At 37.8% G+C, this 22,806-nt stretch overlaps 1 protein-coding gene across 7 annotated transcripts in view; it reads left to right on the top strand.

Annotated features, from left to right (window-relative positions):
* The window catches only part of ABCB11 (ATP binding cassette subfamily B member 11), a 115,935-nt gene that overhangs the window by 32,144 nt on the left and 60,985 nt on the right, over positions 1–22,806 (top strand). For 5 of the 7 annotated variants that reach the window (XM_017005165.2, NM_003742.4, XM_011512078.3 and 2 more), the window contains exons 6-12: positions 2,459–2,546; positions 3,699–3,832; positions 5,299–5,470; positions 8,256–8,380; positions 12,897–13,071; positions 19,202–19,315; positions 22,494–22,604. In XM_017005165.2, coding sequence (XP_016860654.1) covers positions 2,459–2,546; positions 3,699–3,832; positions 5,299–5,470; positions 8,256–8,380; positions 12,897–13,071; positions 19,202–19,315; positions 22,494–22,604 — 919 coding nt within the window. Of the gene's footprint in view, positions 1–2,458; positions 2,547–3,698; positions 3,833–5,298; positions 5,471–8,255; positions 8,381–12,896; positions 13,072–19,201; positions 19,316–19,549; positions 19,728–22,493; positions 22,605–22,806 lie in introns of those variants that run through there. The other 2 variants (XM_017005166.2, XM_017005167.2) reach the window with 2 other exon arrangements.

The raw sequence follows: 22,806 nt of genomic DNA, 5'->3' as shown, positions 1-22,806 counted from the left end.
AATGTCATCTCTCTCCCTTCTTTGCTATTCAACAAATGGGGAATCTTAATTCATTCAAGTAGATTCAGGTCTGTTTTTGCTGTTAAAAAAATGCCATTCTGTGGTCCAAATCACCTGCACACTTTATAGAATCCTTCCTGGGGTTTTATGATGACAAGTGTTCCCAACATTCAGGCAATAAAGACCTTGGTATGCAGTCAAGGGAGCAAAGCCAGGCCTGCTCTTTTCCTTCCTGTCAGTTTTTCTGATAGGTTTTTTCTGTTGTTCCAGAAATATTATCAAGTTCTCTAAAGCCTTAATCACCTCTTCTTCCCAGAATAAAATAAAAATGAGTTAACCACTCATTTCAGAGACACCGCAGGAGTGAAGAGAGTGATAAACTGCATATATCTTTATCTGCACCATCCAGCAGTGATAGAATTATCTTGACCTTTGTTCCAGAAAATCCCAGAGCTGGGCCAGTGCCCAACACCCTTAATCCACATATGTTTGTAAACTGGCATTTTTAATGACAGTCGCTTCATCACTTCCGCTTACAGTGCTTGTAGAATAAAGACACCACAGGAAATTTAAGTTATTTATTGTTATCATTTTAATTGTCACATAAGTATACATATTTATGGGATATAGTGTGATGTTTTGATGCATGTATACAATGTGTAATGATCAAATCGAATAATTAGCATTTCCATCACCTAAGACATTTATCATGTCGTTGTGGTGAGGACATTCAAAATCCTCTCTTCTAGCTCTTTTGAAATAGTCAATGTATTATTGTTAACTATTATAGTCACCTACTATGCAATGTAGTACCAGAACTTATTCCTGAACAGTAACTTTGTACCTGTTGACCAACCTCTCCCCATCCCTCCCCCTCCACTGCTCTTCCCAGCCTCTGTTAACTACTATTCTCTAAGTAAAATGTTTGGACAAATGCTTATAGTTTTCTGGTTTGGGACACCCCAAAACAAGCTGAAAATGAAGAGAATTGACTCATGTATACCTTAGAAAGCTTTTACTTATAATAATATAGTATACTCTCTGTTCAGAGATATTTAGCTTTTATAAGAGCCTCTGATTGTGGATATTCATCGATAAGTTTATGATTTTCTAGTTCTTGTTCATCTCAGGGTTCTTCTTAGTCATCATGAAAGACTGGGAATGTGGTGAGCACAAGAGACCTTAGCTGGTTTTGAGGTTGTCAGAAGGGTTGACCACAGCAGTTATTTCCCTTCCTAATTAGTATTTTGAAAGTCAAAGCAAAATCAGGAAACATTTATTGATTTCAGGCAGAGTGACCAAGCAGTGTAAGCCCAGCCCTTGACCTTGAGTAGCTTGCAATCTACTAGCAAGACAAGCATAAATGTACTCAATATAAATATATTCAATAAAGATATTGACTAATAGTGCAGTTTATTCTGTATTAAATGAATTATGTTGCAATGCTTGACCTGAGTTCAATAGAGAAAAAAAATCAAGCTCAAGCCACAAAAAGAAGGCTGACAGAGAGCGGAAAGGATGTAGGATGAAGAACCCATGCTGAAGAGGCTGCTTGCTGATTCTCTAAAGTAGACTCTATACCATTTAACTTGTCCCTGAAGATCATAACTGTCATCAACCAATATGTTAATTTTCTAATTATGGAATGCCTTCATTCATAAAAGCAATTTCAGAATTTTTTTTTCCTCCACTCCCTGGCACTGCCAATCCCAAACCCTGTGCAGCAACATGGTAGTGCTGCTGGGAAAAATGCCAAAGTATTTTTCTTTGCTATTTTTCTTCTTGCTATTTCCCACAAGTGTCTTTGGCTTCAACCTTAGAAATTGTCCTGGTGAATGAACTTAGGCTGTAGTCAGCAAAAAGACAGGGCTAATAAAATGCTTTTCTCTCCCATGGGAAGATAACAGGCACATTTTTCAGTGTCACTCTGAGATAGAGAAGTTGAAAAGCTGGCTAGCATTCCTAGAAGAGGTAACAGTAAGCCTCCTGATTTACAGCACACATCGTTCTATCAGTTTCTTTTCAGACAGCCTGTCTGGCTTTTGAAAATCTTTCTTGCCTGTGATTGCTCTATCACTGCATGATGAGTATGCATGGAAGAGACTAAAGTGGACCAAGCCCTGGGCTGCCATTTAGGGTACCCTGGCTTCCAACAACTGCTAATTAATTATTTCATAGTCCTAGCATCTCTGCCTATAAAAATGAAGGGGATATGCATATTTTCTGTGATTGGTACCATGAGGTCTGTTTAGAAATTTGGTTGGATTTATTATAATTTTGCATAGATAAAATGTCTTACTCATGTCTAATAGAAATATACTATATATAGTATATTTATTATATATTATATATATATTTAAAATATATATATTTTTTAAATCCCTCTATATCCACAAATGTAATCTCTGGTGGCTTGATCCTACTTGCAAGTCTGAACATTCTTTTCCCTCTTTTGAAGGTTGCTGAACATCGAGAGCGAAATGATCAAATTTGCCAGTTACTATGCTGGAATTGCTGTCGCAGTACTTATCACAGGATATATTCAAGTTAGTAGCTCCTCCGTATAATTTATAGATCAATATCTGACCTCAAAGACACTACAATGAGATGCAATGTGTTGCCACTCTTTAAGCTAATCAGAAGCCCTAAGAACTACAGTCTGTTTCCAGAGGACATGAGAGAATGGAGAGGGATTCTTCTCTCAGATGGAAACTTAGGAGGATACAAGTGGCTGTCCAGAGAGATGCATAATAGACTCGTAGTTGTAATGTCCTGTCCTCCCCCTGCCTTTCCCTACTTCATCCTCTCTTCTATATCCAGAAATGGACATTTGCAGGTGTGTTTGTAGGGGGCAGTTGAGTAGCTTGAAGAATGTGGGGCAGGGGGAGATAGAGGAAAGCAAAATTTACTTTCTTTTTCTCGCATTGCTAAAGTCTCAACAAACTGCATTCCAACCCAAATTCTGAAAGGCTGAATCTAGAGCATATTTTAGATTTAAGTGTTGGAAGGGCTTGGAGGTACTTAACTCTTATTAAGAAAGAAAAATATTTTATCTTTTGCCTTCTTTTGTAGAAAAATAATGAATTCCTTCCCATTCATTCAAGAATTCCACACAGTGCTGTTTGTAAAGAGAAATGAATCATTTTTTCCCATTTAGGCATTGGGAATTTTAATGACAGGCTTTTTTTTTTTTTTTTTTTTTTTTAGTTAGGGAAAATCTATCAGCAGATTAGATTTTTGCTGATGTCATAATTTTTGTTTTACATTTCTTGAAAATTATTGCCTGAAAACTATGCATGAATGCTTCTAGGCAGGTCTTTCCGGGAGGAAATTCACTCAGAAATGGCATTAAAAATAGTTATTTAAGAACAATAATGCCTTATTTTTGGTGCTGTGAGCCTTCTTTCACACATGGGGAAAGTGAAGCTCTGTAGGGTAAAGTCCAGAAGACATGGGCCTGCTTAAGTGTCAGAGCTGGATTCAAACCCAAATCTCAGGCTACCCTGCTGAAGGTTCTGTTTACCTCCACTTTTAGCAGCAGATGACAGAGCTCACATCTTAGTTCCCAAGAAGAGGCATTTTCTGAATTACTTTCCCCCTTTTCTCAACTGTTGTATTGAAAGTACTTTCTTCTGAAAAAAGAAATTAACAAATATTTCAAACATTGCAATGCTAAACATTCCTTTGTCCATTTCCAGATATGCTTTTGGGTCATTGCCGCAGCTCGTCAGATACAGAAAATGAGAAAATTTTACTTTAGGAGAATAATGAGAATGGAAATAGGGTGGTTTGACTGCAATTCAGTGGGGGAGCTGAATACAAGATTCTCTGAGTAAGTAGCTGGTAAAACAGTATTTTAGTGTGTGATTTTTGGATAATAAAACCCTTGTTTCTAAATTAAATAAAAATTTAAAAATATTTTCAGTTTTCCTATGTTTCATCTCTTAAATTGGGCTTTCATATGTGGCATGGCTTTTTCATAAGTAATACACTGTCAAATATGGACATTAAAAATTGAAACCCAAGGTACTGCAATTTGGTGTGTAGACCTTAATTAAAATATTAGAAAGGAAATATTATAGAAGACAGTTAAAAAGGTTATTTAGCTGTCCAGGTGTAACTGGATTTAAATCCAGTTTACACCTAGTTTAGGTCATTAACAGCCACCCAGGAATTCTAAATGAGAGGAATTAGAATTGGTCGAACCCTATTGAACTGAATTTTGAGGTCCCCTGAAAGACAGTCACTCTACAGTGTAGATAAAGCACACTGAAATTCAGGACCCCTGACTTCCGGCACTTACTCTGCTCCTTACTGTGACCTTGAGCAGTTATCTAACCCTGCTGGAACACAATGGCCTAATACCTGGGTGATGTCTTAGGTTCTTTCTTGCTGTTTAGTTCCAAGCTCTCTTCACTCCAACTGGACAAGAGATTAAGGAAATGTTCTCAGGAATATGAATTTAATATAATTATATTCAATAAATATTCTGGAGCAATTGCCTTGCACTTGTGCTCTTGAGGAACTTACAGCCTCGTAGGGGAAATAAGAAATGCAAGCAAATAATCAGAACTAACACATATTGTTTATTATATGATAGGCGCTGTCCTATAGGCTTTACATATATTCGCTACTTTAATCCTCATTATTACCCATTGGGGTAGGTTCTATTATTGTTCTTATTTTACAGACAAGAAAATTGAGCCACAAAAAGGTTAAGTAACTTGCCCAACAAGAGTCTGTATTCAAATTCCTAGTCTGGCTCCAGAATCTGCACTCTTCACCACTACTCTATACTGCCTATATGCAGAATGCAATAATTCCACACACATACAAATGCACAAGGATTAATTACAGTGTTACGGAAACACAGGGAGAAAGGTGTTACTTCTTCTTGGGGGATTATACAAGATTGATGCACGAGAAGGTATGTGACTAGAACCTTGAGGCTGAAAGGATTCAGCAGGCATGAAGAAAGAAAAGCTTTGCAAGACAGAGCAAGGATATTAGCTATGTAAAAGAAAAAGACAAATAAGATGGTTTCCAAAAGCCTTTATCAACACTGAGTACCAGCTGGGAAACCTAGATTAAGAACAAAATTGATTGGCTATCAGGAAAGAGGCTTGATAACATCCCAAGGTGCAGCAAATTTTCCAAGATCTGAGAGGCTGTTAATGCTATCCAAGGGTGATAGGGATAGAGAGATGGGAATGTTTAAAAGGGAAAGACTGAGACTTTCAGCAAGATATTTGAATGATCAAATTCAGTTTTAGTGACCAAAATCTTTCTGGTTTCTAGTGATATTAATAAAATCAATGATGCCATAGCTGACCAAATGGCCCTTTTCATTCAGCGCATGACCTCGACCATCTGTGGTTTCCTGTTGGGATTTTTCAGGGGTTGGAAACTGACCTTGGTTATTATTTCTGTCAGCCCTCTCATTGGGATTGGAGCAGCCACCATTGGTCTGGTAAGAATGTCTTTTTGCATCTCTCCATGGGAAGACATTTGCCTTCATAAACAGCCAAAAATGTGAAGCTTGAGTCCCTTTTCCTGAGTACAGTTAGCAACATAATTATCACTATCTTCATGTAGTTTGTTAGATTACTCCCCAGTGTCAAATGACATTTCATCGAATAGGGATTAATGATGTTTTAATAGGTAAATATTGTTTTATTAACAGCAATTACATTTATTGAGCATTCACTGTTTCTCTAGGCACTACTAGGAGCTTAATAGTCATTATCTCTAATCTTTACAACAATCTTATAAAGTGAGCACTAACATCATTTTAAATATAAGAAACTAGGCTCAGAAAGGTAAGGGGATTTGTCTGGGACTGCACAGCTGGCAGAGTAGGATTCAAGTCTAAGGGGCTCTGACTCCAAACCCCACTCACTCTCCAATATGCCTATTGTTCTCCATGTCCTCCCAAGCTTGGGCACTTCCCTGAAAAGGCACAACAGACAAAGAGCATTAACAAGCACACAAGAAGGATTTCTGCAATCACAACTGTGTTCTCCATTTCATCTTATCTTTCAGATAACCTCTTTCAGAGAGAGGTGATCTGACCCATTCCAAGAGTTATCCCAGTCACTGTCTCGGTTCCCCAGGAATTGAGGCCTGGACAACATATAGGAATAGGAATTTCGGGTCACATCAGCTAAAAACACTCCCAAGGACTGAGAAATTATTATTAGAGCAGCCACATTAGATAGCACGTTATGGAATCAGGCATACTAAAACTGTGCTATAAATGAGAATAGAATTTAACTGAAAAACTGCATACACCCTCACACATCGTTGAGCAATAGGTACCAACTTCCTATTGCTCAATAGCAAAATATTCTCACAGTGTCTACATTATTCAAACATTTCCCAGATAAAATAGAAAATGGTTTAAAGTGACAATAGCAAAGAGCTCGCTCCATTTCATTAGGTCACCACTTGGCTGTACCGCTAACAGGTTGTGTGACTCAGGAAAAATCCATTTAACCCCTGAAAACCTCAGTTTCCTTGTCTTTAAAATAGGGATAATACCTCCCAAAAACATTATGATGATTCAGGGAATAATCCACGTTATGCATTTAAGCCGTGTCGGGCACAGAATCAATTGCTAAAGAGAGATGTATATGTTTTTCAATCCACTATATCATTCAAGTTTTACGGCAGTCTTTCCTACTAACCACTTTCCAACTATACTCCAGAGAACCCTCAACTTCCACAGAAGAGCTTCAGGGGTTTTGCAAACATTTTTTCATTTTTTTTCTGAATACACTAATCTCTTTCTTCAAACCTGTGATAAAGTAATATACACACTCACGTGGATCATAGGCCACATTTCAACATGTTGGAGGTTAACATATAGCCCAGTTCACTTGGTTTTAAACAGCTCTAACGCTTAGTTTCTCTAGTCATCTCAGTACCCATTTCTAGCTTCTCATAAACTCGTCACTGATTTGGAATGTTGTAGGTCTGCACATGTCTTGTCTTGCTTTCAAGTCTGTGTATGCTTGTCCTTATACAACAAACTTCTACAAGCAACTATACAACAAACTATACAAGCAACTTCACTAGGCTCAAATGTAAATTTTAATGTTAATAAAAACAGCTTCCAGTCTTGGTAACACAGTGAGATCCCATCTCTACAAAAAAAAAAAAAAAAATTTTTTTTAAATAGCCAGGCATGGTGGCATGTGCCTATAGTCTCGGATACCCAGGAGGCTGAGGCCAGTGAAATGCTTGAGTACAGGAGTTTGAGACTGCAGTGAGCTAGGATCATGCCACTGCATTCCAGCCTGGGCAACAGAACAAGAACCCGTCTCTTTAAAAAAAAAAAAAAAAAGCCTCACTTTCCTTACTGTTACATGTTTAATTCACATGTTTTATAAAATGTACACTGATGAAATTAATATATTGTTTTTAAAAACTACTATGAATACTTACTTAATTTACATCTTAGAATTCCATCTAAGATTTTGATAAGAGTTTTGCTGCTAAAAGTTTGGAAAAACTACTGGAAGATAAACTCCCTTAATCTGGGTATTATATATATTTTTATATTTCTGAGCTAGTTGATCTTCCGCAATATGTGTTTTTTCCTCTTCTTATTTATTAATCTGTGCCAGGGTTTTCTTTGGGGGTTCATTTTGACTAGGACTCAATCCAAGTCAGTTTTAGAAAAAGTAATGTGTCTACTGTTAAGTACAGATGTCTTTTCATTTCCTTTTGTAAAAATCAAAACTACATAGTTGAGCGTCTCCAACTGAGTGAAAATGGACTTTCTTTTCTGGAATCATCTGAAATCGTCTTTCAACATCATGCCTATACTTTATATGTTATATGTCATATATTATACCCAATCATGATATCTGCATGTGTCTCTGGCGTTTGTCTATAAATTATGCAATGGCCATTGGCTAATAGCAATGAACTATGACATGGTCTAACTTAACACTTTATTAGTATAATGACTGAAACACTTTAGTCTTACAGAATGTCCTATTTGGAATTTATTCTTTGAGGAGGTTCTTACTTTTAGTAGGGTCATTTTGATATATCAACAACCAGACAACCCTGGATGAAGCTTACCATAGACCAAATTTGGACCAGATTTCTTCCTCCTGTCAATGATGTTACAGTGAGAATCTAATATTGTATTAAACCCATGCCACATGTTAAATGAATCTGAATGACAGACTGACTTACCTAATTTCTTGGACTTCACATTTTCTTTTCTTCTTTTTGATTTTTAGAGTGTGTCCAAGTTTACGGACTATGAGCTGAAGGCCTATGCCAAAGCAGGGGTGGTGGCTGATGAAGTCATTTCATCAATGAGAACAGTGGCTGCTTTTGGTGGTGAGAAAAGAGAGGTTGAAAGGTTGGTTAATTGGAATCTGATTCTTTCCTTAATTTCATCAATCAGCATAGTACCCTGAGTCTCTCAGTTTGTGCAAAGCGGCAGACCCACCTTGGTCTGTGGCCTCCAGAGGAAGTACTTGTTCAAGAGGGAGCTAAGCAGAGTAATTTAGGTTGGTAATTTAGGTACTATAAGAAGTCCCAAGCCTTTAGCAGTATGTTTTTAAAGATGTTGCAGTTGGCAATTTTTAGAAAGCCAGCTCAGGGTAGATATTTATTTCAAACTCTGATGGTATGTATGTATAAATATTATACCTCATATCAGTCTATAATGCTGTTTGCTGTCATTAAAGAAAAGCCTACATGAGACATTACAACTGATACCACAGAAATACAGAAGATCATAAGAGATTACTAAAAACAAACGCCAACAAATTGGATGACCTAGAAGAAATGGATAAATTCCTATAAAAATACAACCTGCCAAGGTTGAATCACGGAGAAATAAAGAGAAATAAATCTGAACATACCAATAATGAGTAAGGAGATTGAATCAGTAATAAAAAGTCTCCCATGAAAGAAAAGCCCAGGACCTGATAGCTTCATTGCTGAATTTTACCAGACATTTAAAGAAAAACTAGTACCAGTCCTCCTCAAATTCTTCCACAAAATTAAAGCGGAGGGAATACTTCACACTCATTTTACAAGGCCAATATTACCTTGATACCAAAGCCAGAAAAGGATACTACAAGAAAATCAAAGGCCAATATCCATGATAAACATGGACGTGAAAATGCTCAACAAAAATACTAGTAAACCAAATTGAATAGCACATTAAAAGAATCATTCACCATGATCAAGTGAGATTTATCCCTAGGATGTAAGGATGGTTCAACATAGGCATGTCAATAAATGTAATATACCACATTAACAGAATGAAAGACAAAAACCATATGGTTATCTCAATAGATGCTGAAAAAGCATTTAACAAAATTCAATATCCTTTCCTGACAGAAACTCTCAACAAATTAGGTATAAAAAGAATGTACCTCAATACAATAAAGGTAACATATGACAAGCCCACAGCTAAATCATACTCAAGGGTGAGAATTTGAAAGCTTTTCCCCCTAAGATCAGGAACAAGACAAAAATGCCCATTCTTGCCACTTCTTAGCAACCACAAAAGACCTTGAATAGCAAAAATCCTGAACAAGAAGAACAAAGCTGGAGGCATCACGTTACCTGATCTCAAAATCTACTACAAAGTAATAGATCATTATTAGATTATTTGATTACTATAGTAATAAAAACAGCATGGTACTGGCATAGAAACAGACACATAGACCAGTGAAAAAGAATGGAGAGCCCAGAAAGAAGTCCATGCATTTATAGTCCATTGATTTTCAATAAAGAGACCAACAACACACCATGAGGAAAGGGCAGTCTCTTCAATAAACGATGTTGGGGAAACTGGATATCCACATGCAGAAGAATGAAATTTGATCCTTACCTCACACTATACACAAATATCAACTCAAAATGGATTAAAGTTTTAAATGTAGGATATAAAACTGAAAAACTACTAGAAGAAAGCATAGGGAAGAAGCTCTATGACATTGGTCTAGGCAATGATTTTTTTGACACAACCCCAAAAGGACAGGTAACAAAAGCAAAAATAGACAGATGGGATTACATCAAACTAAAAAGCTTCAAAAAGGAAGCAATCAACAGAGTGAAGAGGCAATTTATAGAATGAGAGAAAATATTTGTAACCCATACATCTGATAAGGGGTTAATATCCAATACATATAAGAAACACAAACAACTCAATGACAAGAAAACAACCTGATTAAAAAGTGGTCAAAAGACCTGAATAGACATTTCTCAGAAGAAAACATACAAATAGAAACGTACAAAAAGAAACATACAACAGGCATGTGAAAAGATGTCACACATCACTAATCATCAAGGAAACACAAGTCAAAACCACAATGAGATATCATCTTATACCTGTAAGAATGGCCATTATAAAAAGAAGAAAGATATCAAGTGTTGGCAAGCATATGGGGAAAATGAAACACTGTTACACGGATCGCTTTTGGTGGGAAAGTAAATCAGTACAGCCAAAGAGTATGGAGATTCATCAAAAAATGGAAAACAGAACTACCATATGATCCAGCATCCCCACTACTGGGTATATATCCAAAGGAAATGAAATCACTATGTCAAGAGAAAACTGTACTCTTACATTCACTGCAACATTATTCACAATAGCCAAGGTATGGAATCAACCTAAGCACCCATTAACAGACAAGTGAATGAAGAAAATGTGTGTGTAAATTTACATGCCATATTCAATAGAATACTATTCAGCCTTTAAAAAGAAGAAAATACTGTTATTTGCAGCAACACGATGAACCTGGAGGACATTATGTTAAGTGAAATAAGCCAGGCACAGAAAAATACCCCATGATCTCACTGACAGAGTTGAACTCACAGAAGCAGAGAGCAGAACAGTGGTTACCAGGGACTTTGAGGTGGGAGGGGGCAGGCGAGAACTGGGGAGACGTTGGTCAAAGGATTCAAAATTTCAGTTAAACAGGGGTAGTTTGAGATATTTTAAAAATAATGACATTAATTATCTAATTGTAGTTGTTTTAATTTAGTTCATGGTGATCTAAAAGAAACCCTTCCTTATTCACATTTAAGAGGCAGTTTATAAAGTCAAGAAATGTGTTGTTAACATGGTGACTATGGTTAATAACATCACATTGCATACTTGAAAATTGCTAAGAATAGATTTTTAAGTGTTCTCATCACACACACACACACAATATAAGTATGTGAGGTAATGCATGTTAATTATCTTGATTTAGCCATTCCACAATTTATACATACTTCAAACCATCATGTTGTATACCATAAATATATGTAAGTTTTGTCAATTAAAAAATAATAAAGAAATGCCAGCATGATTCAAAATGCTATTTCACACATTTTTATTGAACACCTTTTTAATTAAACACACTTTATTCAGGTACTGTGCTACATGTTCTTTATAAAGTCTGATAAGATTTCTATTTGGTCAAACAGGCTGGGCACAGTGGCTCACACCTGTAATCCCAGCACTTTGGAAGGCCAAGGCAGGTGGATTGCTTGAGGCCAGGAGTTTGAGACCAGCCTGGGCAACATGGCAAAACCTCATCTCTACAAAAAAATACAGAAATTAACCAGACATGGTGGTGTACACCTGTAGTCCCAGCTACTTGGGAGGCTGAGGTGGGAGGATCACCTGATTCTGGGGAGTTTGAGGTTACAGCGAGCTGTGATCATGCTACTGCACTCCAGCCTGAATGATGGAGTGAGACCCTGTCTCAAAAAACAAATTAGTGTTGAAAAGTTATAGAGCATTATTCTAGAGATTAACTCCCAGTGAAAAGAAAAACCCAAATGGCCAAAATAATACAGTTGTCCAAAATGTAATTTTGTTTATTCTTTAATTTATCTGGTATTTATTGAGTACTTACTACGTGCCATGCTTTGATTTTTATAAAATAGCTACCAACTGAATAGCAACTCTTACTTTATGTGTTGTAGATTTGGTAAGATGGTGTTATTCTCAGTTGCTACCAAATCCATCAAGTAAAAAAGAGAATAGGATTTACAACCTCTTATTATCGTCTTTTCCCCACTTCTTTTGGTTTGTGGAGTGAGGTTCCTTATTTCTTGTAAAAAATTTCAGTAGCATATTTCTTCCACCATGAAAGACATTATCTTTTATTGTCAATAAAAGAGACAGTGTAGTGTTTTAAAAATGGTAACAAACATAGGATAGACCTTCAGTTTGTGTCCTGCAAAAGGTTAAAAGTTCTCCATGAATTCAATTCCTGAGATGTAGGAAGGCAGTTTCAGAATGCCTGAGCTATATATGAGACAAAGCCCATTGTTAATGGCTAGATCATGGAATTACTGAAACCTATTCCTTGCATTGGACTTCCACATAGTTTCAGTTATCCATGTCTCATGGCTGTGAACCTGACCAGTGTGTCACAACACAGCGTCTCAGCCACAGGGCAGATGGGTGAGTTATAGATGAGTTGGTGCAAACACTAGTTCCAAGCCTGGGGAGCTGGAAACAAAAAGTCTGGTCTGCTTATTTGGAGCCAGTTGCATTATTTTCTGATAAGGACATGTCATGTGACTCAAGGAAACACTTCAAACATAATACTAGATCTCTCTTGTTCATATATTTATGTTGAAAATTCTTTTCTCTTGGGGCCAAGCTTACCTCACTATGCAATCCAAGCAGCAATCAGGCAGCTCTGTTAAGTATCGCCCTTTCAACATGTTTCATTGTCAGGTTAAAACAAACTTTAAAAAACTACATAAAGGTTATTGGAGATTTTTCTCCCTGAAGCTGCTCTGTGTTTGCGATGATTTTATGATCATTTTGTAAAACCACTGCATCACGGCCTGTTTTAAACATTATAACTTGAGCTGTTTCTGCCGAAATTGACTCAAGCATTTTGTCTTCACAGGTATGAGAAAAATCTTGTGTTCGCCCAGCGTTGGGGAATTAGAAAAGGAATAGTGATGGGATTCTTTACTGGATTCGTGTGGTGTCTCATCTTTTTGTGTTATGCACTGGCCTTCTGGTACGGCTCCACACTTGTCCTGGATGAAGGAGAATATACACCAGGAACCCTTGTCCAGGTACCTTGGACTTATTGACCGAGACATAGCATTTCCTTCTGGTATCTCAGAAAAGTCCATGGATTAGATATTTTGTTTATTACTTTGGTGCCTTCAGGAAAAAAGCATCAATGATTTTATGGAGTCTGTCTGTGGAAACAAGTAATACCTTAAATTTTTTTTTATTTCCATAATTTTTTTGGGAAACAGGTGGTATTTAGTTACATGAGTAAGTCCTTTAGTGGTGATTTGTGAGATTTTGGTGCACCCATCACCCAAGCAGTATACACTGAATCCAAGCTCTGGTCTTTTATCCTTCACTGCCTTCGTACCCTTTTCCGCTGAGTCCCCAAAGTCCATTGTATCATTCTTATGCCTTTGCATCCTCATAGCTTAGCTCCCACTTATGAGTGAGAACATGCAATATTTGGTTTTCCATTCCTGAGTTACTTTACTTAGAATAACAGTCTCCAATCCCATCCAGGTTGCTGTGAATGCCATTAATTCATTCCTTTTATTGCTGAGTAGTATTCTGCCATATATATATGTAATTATATGTATCTGTGTATATATATACATATATGTTATATATATATCACAGTTTCTTTATCCACTTGTTGATTGATGGGCATTTGGGCTAGTTCCACAGTTTTGCAATTGTAAATTGTGCTGCTATAAACATGCGTGTGCAAGTATCTCTTTTGTATAACGACTTCTTTTCCTCTGGGTAGATACCCAGTAGTGGGATTGCTGGATCAAATGGTAGTTCTATGTTCAGTTCTTTAAGGAATTTCCATACTGTTTTCCATAGTTGTTGTACTAGTTTACATTCCCACCAACAGTGTAGAAGTGTTCCTTTTCACTACATCCATGCCAACATCTATTATGTTTTGATTTTTTTATTATAGCCATTCTTGCAAGATTAAGGTGGTATCACATTGTGGTTTTGATTTGTATTTCCCTGATCATTAGTGATGTTGAGCATTTTTTTCATATGTTTGTTGGCCATTTGTGTATCTTCTTCTGAGAATTGTCTATTCATGTCCTTAGCTCACTTTCTGAGTTTATTGTAGATTCCGGATATTAGTCCTTTGTCAGATGTGTAGATTGTGAAGATTTTCTCCCATCCTGTGGGTTGTCTGTTTACTCGCTGACTGTTCCTTATGCTGTGAAAAACCTCTTTAGTTTAATTAAGTCTCACCTATTTATCTTTGTTTTTATTGCATTTGCTTTTGGGTTCTTGGTCATGAAATCTTTGCCTAGGCCAAAGTCTAGAAGGGCTTTTCCAATGTTATCTTCTAGAAATTTTATAGAGAAACAAATAATACTTATATATTTTATAGTAAAGGGATGCTAAACATTTGAATTGATAAGACCAGCAATTTAATAATTTCAAATTAACTGAACACTTTATAGCTATGAAATGATGATTTTCTGACTGAGTCCAAAAAGAAAATATGCCATGAAAATGGAAACTCAGTGATCTCTCAGCTAAAAATTAACAGCTCGTATAACTGAGCTTTATGATAGTCCAAGATATATACTAATAAATGTACTTGTGAAACATAATGAGTTACTAAAATGCCAGGTCAATAACAGCCTTAACTGAACAGGTGCTACAAATGTACTTTATTGCTCACTTGTGCTAAAGTAGCTAATGCCTTTAATTTTCATTGTCTTTACAGTTATTCATTCAATAAGTAATTATTCAGCATCTACTATGTGCCAGACACTTAGAAAATGCAGGGGATTCAACAGTGAGCAACGGAAATGTGGTTTTGTTTTTGTTTTTGTTTTTTTGCCTTGATGGGATTTACACTTTAATGGAGAAGACAAGCAATAAATAAGTAACCATGTAAATGAATACAGACAAATAGAGACATGCTATAGAGGACAGAGAACCTTGACAGTGAATAGCAGGATAACCAGGTGTGGCGGGGGTCCAGGAAGGCTTCTTATCCTGCTCCCTCTCCCAAGGCCTTTCCTCCTTAGCTTATGGCTCTCTCTTGTTGCAACTGGACTCTGATCATTGTTTGAATTCTCAGCTAAATGCCACTTTCCCAGTCAGGCCTTTTACACTCACCCATTTTTCATTCTCTTTTGTGATCTGCTGTACTTTTTTTTCAAAGCACTTTTGTGATATGGAATATTTGCATTTATTTACACTTGTGCCCACCCGTTTCTACCCTCAGACAGTAAAATCTACGAGGTCAGGGAAACAAAAAATGAAATATCTGTTTCATTTGCCCTGCAAGTAAATAGGGAGTCGTTTTATATCAAATTCTTAAGTAAAATTTTTTAGCTCCAGATTCCGGATAGAGCAAACAATGAAAAATATCAAAACCTTGTATACCAGAAATTTGCTAGCTGAGAGCTTAAAATTCAAAATCTACTGCTTTAAGATAAATACATTGCCAGGGAAAATTGAGTAGGATTTTGATTTGCAAATGGAAGTGATTATCAGAGGTCAAACCATAATCATTCCAAACCACGGACTTTATTTCATTAAGAACATGATAATACACAAAGAACAACTTTTTCAATTCAGTTTATCTTGGCAGCATGAACAGCTGACATCTTTTGAACTTTGTTAAAGAAAATAAATATGATAATACAGGTTAATGTGTTTTGTAAACTTTAAAGAGATAGTATGGATGGGAAGTGTTACCAATTTTATAATTTAACCACTTCTTAACAACTTAGATACAGTTTTTACAGATTGGAAAAGCCACTGAAGTATTGCAGGTCCAGATTTTAACTATAGTCCCTTGTCTTTATTGATCCAATTCCTCCTAAGAACTTTGACATTTACCAAAATAGGGATATCAGTAGTTGGCTTTAGTCCTAGCTGCTTATACATACTTGCTATGCAAGAAGACAAGCATTGAGAAAACTTATTTTTCCTTTTGTTCCATGCCTACAAGGAGAGGATAGAGGTATACAATAATAATGGTTCAGAGGGAAAAGTGAATTGGTAAATTGAAAATCAAATAATACACAATACCAACTGGAAGCACTTGAATAAAAATCCCTTTGGTAACTCTCTGTAGTAGGAATCCAATTTTATGTCTCTCATCTTTAAATTTCCTGCCCATTGTACAGTGAGCTACTCTACTTTTGTAAATAATTTATTCTTTCAACCAATATTTCTTGAGTCCTTGCTATGTGCAGACATGGCATACTATGGGTCTCTAACATTTTAATCAACTGATTATTAACCTGTTACTCCCAACGTCTTTCTGTAAGCCTCTGCTTATATCTTAAGAGAAAATTTCCTTTGGGAAGATGAAATGCATCCTTTAACACTATATTCCTTGCTCTCTCTCTCTCTTCTCTCTCTCTCTCTCGCTCGCTCTCTCTCTCAGGTCTTGGCCACACTTCTGAGCAGCAAACTATGAAGGCTGAGTGTGCATGGGCTGAGTTGAGTGTTTTAATCCACAAAACTAATTAACGGTTTGGTTAATCCAGTACGTTTTGTGATACACAAAATCGTTACTGGCTGCATGGTAATTGGGCATAAATGGTAAGTAGTTCACATAAGTGACTGTAATTAGTATCACTTGTGCACAGAGAAAAAATGCACTCTGTGGTCTGGTAGGGAAAGATGAAGGGGACCTGAATGGTGCAGAAGGTTGTTCTTTCATGACCTTCCTGAGTTTCAGAATTCATTAATAAAAATAAACACATAATGGAGCGTGACATTCATTCAGTATATACAAAGTGTCAAGCACTGAGTGACGTATTATGTAATAAAATTACTGCATGTAATGCTCTCAATCTCATTCCGTAATTGGTGTCATTATACTACCACTTAAAAATGAAATTGAAGCCATGAAGTCAAGAAATATTGAGAGGGATTTGAACTCAGGTCTCCCTGACTTTGAGGCCTACCTATTAACCACTGTTTTCCTGCCTCTGACTCTGTCTTCCCAGGGGCCATGGACCCCTTTTTCTCCAGCACACCCATAGCTTAATTGTTCCACAGCAGTCTCCCTTCCCATCTCTCTGTCTACACTACTTCTGCTGTTCACAGGGCTAAAGAATATGATGTTGAGTGACAAATGATGGCTTATTGGGATGTTGCTAGCTACTGTGATGATTTGGGAATGTGCTTTTGTCCTGTCTCACTCACTCCTCCCCATCCAGAGAGCCATTCAAAGAGTTGGACCCCAAACTTCAATTTAGGCCTCCAGTCAGCCAGGAGTCAGCAAACTATGGTCGACAGGCCAAATCCAGCTCACTGCCTGTTTTTATAAATAACATTTTACTGGGACAGAGCCACAGTCACTTATTTACATATGTCTATGGCTGCTTTTATACTACATGGCAGAACTGAGTAATTACTTCAGAGCCCATATGGCCTGAAAAGCCTAAAATATTTATTTGGCCCTTTTTCAGAAAATGTTTGCTGGCCCCGGATCTAGGGCAAATGGAAGGTTCCTTTGCTGAGGTAGGAAGACCTCTGACGTGTGTGGTCTTAAACTAAATTGGACCATAAGAAGTGTTCTATCTGCTTCCTTTACCGCCTCCTAAGTGTGGGACCTCAATACTTTCTTCACTGTCAGCATCATCATCACCAACATCATTACTACCATTGAAGAGACTAGCACTGGATTAATCATCTTTACACACATTATCTCATTTGATCCTGTAATAATCCTATGAAATATATGCTATCATTATCCCTGTGTTGCAGATGAAGAAATGGGGGCTTGAAAGATTACATAATCTGCCTATGGGAGGAACCACCTGCCATAATTGAGGACAAGGAAATGAAGAGATAATTTTTGTCCCTATGCATAGGCTGGGATTCTAGGGAGAAAGCGTGAGTGGACTAACCCACCACCCATGTATGGCAGCCCTGGCCCTGTTAATCATCCTAATGTGTGGAATGAAGAGGTTACTGAAGAGGGAGAGACATGGCTGAGAGGCTCTGACACTTTCCATGGTTCAGACACTCCAGCCACAAGGAAGAAAGAGAAGCAGGAGAGACTCAGGCAATTTGCCTCAATGTGATACAACAAATGGGAAGGGTCTGGCCTATAGAAACCATCACAGACCAGGATCATTTGATCACCTGAAAAAGACTACATTCATGCAGGGCCACTCTTTGGCTTGGCAATAGACTGTGGCCAATGAAACATCCTCTATGCGAGTCACAAGAGTAGGACCATTCTTTGGTTGACAGGGTAGAGAGGAGGAGACTGGTATTCCTTCTGGAGGCCAACTTGAGGATTTGCCTCATTGTCTCTTCCTTACCTTTATAAACAGTGCTGATAATAAAAACAGAGTGCTATTTGGTAGGAACATCTGGGCATGATCAGGTAGCCTTCCCCTAAGGTAATGAGATGACTGCATTGGTAAGTCAAAGAACAGCTGCCCCAAGTCTGCACAGGAACCTGACCACTCCACCTGCATATAGCCAGCAACAGGTGAGTCTGGGAGCTAGGTAGAATGGCAGTCAAAAGCCTGGATTCAAATTCTGCTCTACTACTTATGACATGTTGTAACCTAGTGCAAATTGGGAGCCTCCATACCTGTCTGTTCACTCTTCTGTTGTAAAGATAAAATGAAATAATACAGATAAAACACTTAGAAACATACCTGTTATTATTGTTATTATTACTGTTATTCATAGTAGTTGCAGTAGTTAGCCCAGTGACTACTGGAATAGTAGCATTAGTATAGCGGTAACAACAGTAGCAGGTTGGTTTTGCATGTACCAGCCTCTAGAATAGTCAGGCTGATCTTAGTGTCTGTATTGTTTTTGGCAACCCTTTAACCAGAAAATCACTATAAGGCTGATTATATAATGAATTCAATTATCAAATCACTATTCAAGTCCACTTTGGGTCTACAGGCTACCTTGCTTAGACTTCTTACTCATTTCAAGACAGTTCTACTTTGTAGAAGAGTAATATTCAGTAAAAAAATAAAGTGGTATTTTAAATCATAACAGTGGAAAACTTGGAGATGCTTTACAGAACAAAAATTATTTTGGGTATTTCCAAACAGCCAAAGAGCTAGCTTTTGAACCCACAGAAGAGAATTTCTGATAACTCTCTGCGTTAACATGGAAGACCCAAATGATAGTAATTACTATTTACACATTAACAAAAACACATGAAAAATCTCTCTCTTTTCATTTCAGATTTTCCTCAGTGTCATAGTAGGAGCTTTAAATCTTGGCAATGCCTCTCCTTGTTTGGAAGCCTTTGCAACTGGACGTGCAGCAGCCACCAGCATTTTTGAGACAATAGACAGGGTATGTATAAGCCAAAAGTAAAGGCCATTAACAGGTGGGGGCTGGGGGGTGGGGCACAGAATGAACTCCTGAAGAATTTACCTTAAAGTTAAAAATATAAGAAGCTATCGCAAGGCCCTTAATTCAGCAACACTTATTAAATGCTATCATGTGCTGGTGCCAATTCTTTTTTTTTTTTTTTTTTTTTTTTTTTGAGATGGAGTTTCGCTCTTGTTGCCCAGGCTGGAGTGCAGTGGCACAATCTCGGCTCACTGCAACCCCCTCCTCCCAGGTTCAAGCGATTCTCCTGCCTCAAGGGAGTGAATGCAACAGGGAACTAGAACAAGTAAGACCCCTGTTCTTTACTCATGCTGGGAGAGGACAGGCAGTAAAGAAGTATGCACATTCAAAGATAAGACAATAGCAGAGAGTGGTAAGTAAATAAAGGAAATAAAATAGGGCAATGTGACAGCGACTGGGGTGGGAGAAAGAGTCTTTAAATTGGGTGGTGGTGGCAGTATCTCTGAGGAGGTAGCATTTGAGTGGAGAACTGAAGAAAAGTCAGCCATACAAATGAGGATTGGAGGAGGTGGGGCGTGGGAAGTAAGAGCAGGGAGGGCATTCATGGAAGAGAGGCCCCCAAGTTGGAAAAGGCTGCTGATTTAAAGAAGCTGAAACAAGCCCAGTGCAACTGAATAGAGTGAACAAGGGGCAGAGGCTGGAGGCATGGGAAGGGCCTACCATGCAGGACTTCAAGACCATGTCCATAAAATTCGCTTATCTTCTAAATATGGCAAAAAGGGATTTTACTGGTTAGTCTATGGAAGCACACTGGAGGCCAAGCTAGGGAGTCAAAATCCAAGAACAGGCCAGGCATGGTGGCTCTTGCCTGTAATCCCAATACTTTGGGAGGCCAAGGTGGGCGCGTCACCTGAGCCCAGGAGTTCAAGACCAGCCTGGGAAACATGGTGAAAACCTGTCTCTACTAAGAACACAAAAATTAGCCAGTCAAGATGGCATGTGCCTGTAGTCCCAGCTATTCAAGAGGCTGAGGTGGGAGGATCACCTGAGCCCAGGGTGGCCGAGGCTGCAGTGAGCCATGATTGCGCCACTGCTCTCCAGCCTGGGCAACAGAGTGAGAACGTGTCTCAAAAAACAAACAAACAGAAAACCAAGAACAGAAGGGGAAGTTGGCAATCTGTTGTTCTTTCTCTTTAAAAAAAAAAAATGCCCTGAGCTGAGTCCAAAGCAAGCCCTGGAAATCCAGAGGTGATTTGCGGGCTCCCTGAACCTGTTTGGTTCACTGTCCGCTGTTTGATACTCTTTCGCCAAACAGTGAAGTTGTAACCTATTAAGGAAGTGACTCATTGCTTTATCTGTTTTATAATTTGGGGTTTCATATATTGGAGTACAGAGAGATTGTTAAAAACCACATAAAAATGTTCATTGATGGCCAGGCATGGTGGCTCACACCTGTAATCCCAGCACTTTGGGAGGCCAAGTCGGGAGGATAGCTTGAGCCCAGGAGTTTGAGACAAGCCTGGGCAACCCTGTCTCTACAAAAAATTTAAAAAGTAGCCGGGTGTGGTGGCACATGCCTATAGTCCCAGCTAGTCAGGAGGCTGATATGGGAGGATGGCCTAAGCCCAGGAGTTTGAAGATGCAGTGAGCTATGATCACACTACTGCACTCTGGCCTGGGTGACAGAGTGAAACCCTGTCTCTGAAAAAAAAAAAAAAAAAAAAAAAAAAAAAGTCAATTTATTCAAATTCTACCTCTTTCTTAAGATTGTTATATGCTCAAATAAGATGATGACTCTAAAAGTGCCCTGAAACTAAAAAATTAAGGCATTTAAAAATTATTTCTTACCTTTATTAGCAACCCAGTAAGGAGGTAGATTACATTATACTCCTCAATAGAGCTAAAGTGATTGATATGGTTTGGCTTTATGTCCCCACCCAAATCTTATCTTGAACTGTAATCCCCATGTGTCGAGGGACAGACCTGGTGGGAAGTCATTGGATCACAGGAGCATTTTCCCCCATGCTGTTCTTGTGATAGTGAGGGAGTTCTCATGAGATCTGACGGTTTTAAAGTGGCAGTTTCCCCTATGCGCTCTCTCCTGCCACCATGTAAGACATGCTTTGCTTCCCCTTTGCCTTCAACCATGGTTGTAAGTTTCCTGAGGCCTCCCCAGCCATTTGGAACTATGAATCAATTAAAACTCTTTTCTTTCTAAATTACCCAGTCTCAGGTATTCTTTATAGCGGTGTGAAAATGGACTAATACAGTGATGAATTTCCATCACTAGTTATGGACAAGGGAAGAAGATGATGCTGGAGTGTTCTGGTAGCAGGAAGAGGCCCTCACTTTTCTCTGATTAACCAGAGTGGTTAAATTCTAGATTGGGCTTGTTGCTAGCAGAAGAGGTGAAATTCAGGACAACAATTGAAAGTTGGTAGCATTTGAACACATCATTTAGGAACACTCAGTTTTAATCATCATCTACCATGGATACTCAAAAGAATACCCTCGGACCCCCGATTGGTTGACTAGTTGCCTGGTCTTAGAAACTTAATCTTTCTGCAATTCCTCCACTTCTTCAACTGAAAATGGGCATATCACCAGTCTAGTTTGGTGACGGTGACAATTATGTAAATAAAAGTATAAAAACACCTAGTACATTGTCTCCTATATTATCTTAGTAATATATAATATATAATAATATTGTTAACATATGTTATACATTTATAATATTAATACAACATATGTATTATATATGTATTATTATATAATGGCACATATTATATAATATCTCAGTAACAACATGATAAATAATAACAATTAAATAAATTAATTAAATATGTATTATGTTAATATATAATATCTCAGTAATAGCTCAAGAAGTAGTGATTATTCTCACTATTATTAATAAACGTTTAATGAGTACACATCTTTGGCGTATCTCTGCAATGTTTTATCTGGTTGTTGTTCTAAGTAAATTCAAATTAAGATACATGCAAACTAAGAGGCACAATAAATGTATACATCTTCATTTGAATTTACTCATAAAACAGAGCAACAACCAGATAAAACATTGCAGAGATACGCCAAAGATGTTTATTTGAATTTACAATTTGAATTGAGTTGTGCATCTTAGTTTGAGTTTACACTGTGTCCCTTTTGTATTTCACTCCAGAAACCCATCATTGACTGCATGTCAGAAGATGGTTACAAGTTGGATCGAATCAAGGGTGAAATTGAATTCCATAATGTGACCTTCCATTATCCTTCCAGACCAGAGGTGAAGGTGAGTGCTGGTCTGTTCCCCAGAATAGTAAATGTTTTCTTCTTCGATGATTTATTTGCATAACCACAAATTGCTCATTTTCTGAAGCCTGACTCTGTTTCCAGTAATAGGGAATGGAGGTGTCTTTCTCTGAAAGTATCCTCGGGTGTTGGCTTATCTCAGGCAACAGACCACATTCCTTTGTGATAACCATAATGTGCAA

The sequence above is a fragment of the Homo sapiens genome, chromosome 2 (genome assembly GCF_000001405.40).
Source record: "Homo sapiens chromosome 2, GRCh38.p14 Primary Assembly".
In the NCBI taxonomy this organism is placed as follows: Eukaryota; Metazoa; Chordata; class Mammalia; order Primates; family Hominidae; genus Homo; species Homo sapiens.
This window is presented reverse-complemented; position numbering and strand designations above follow the sequence as displayed.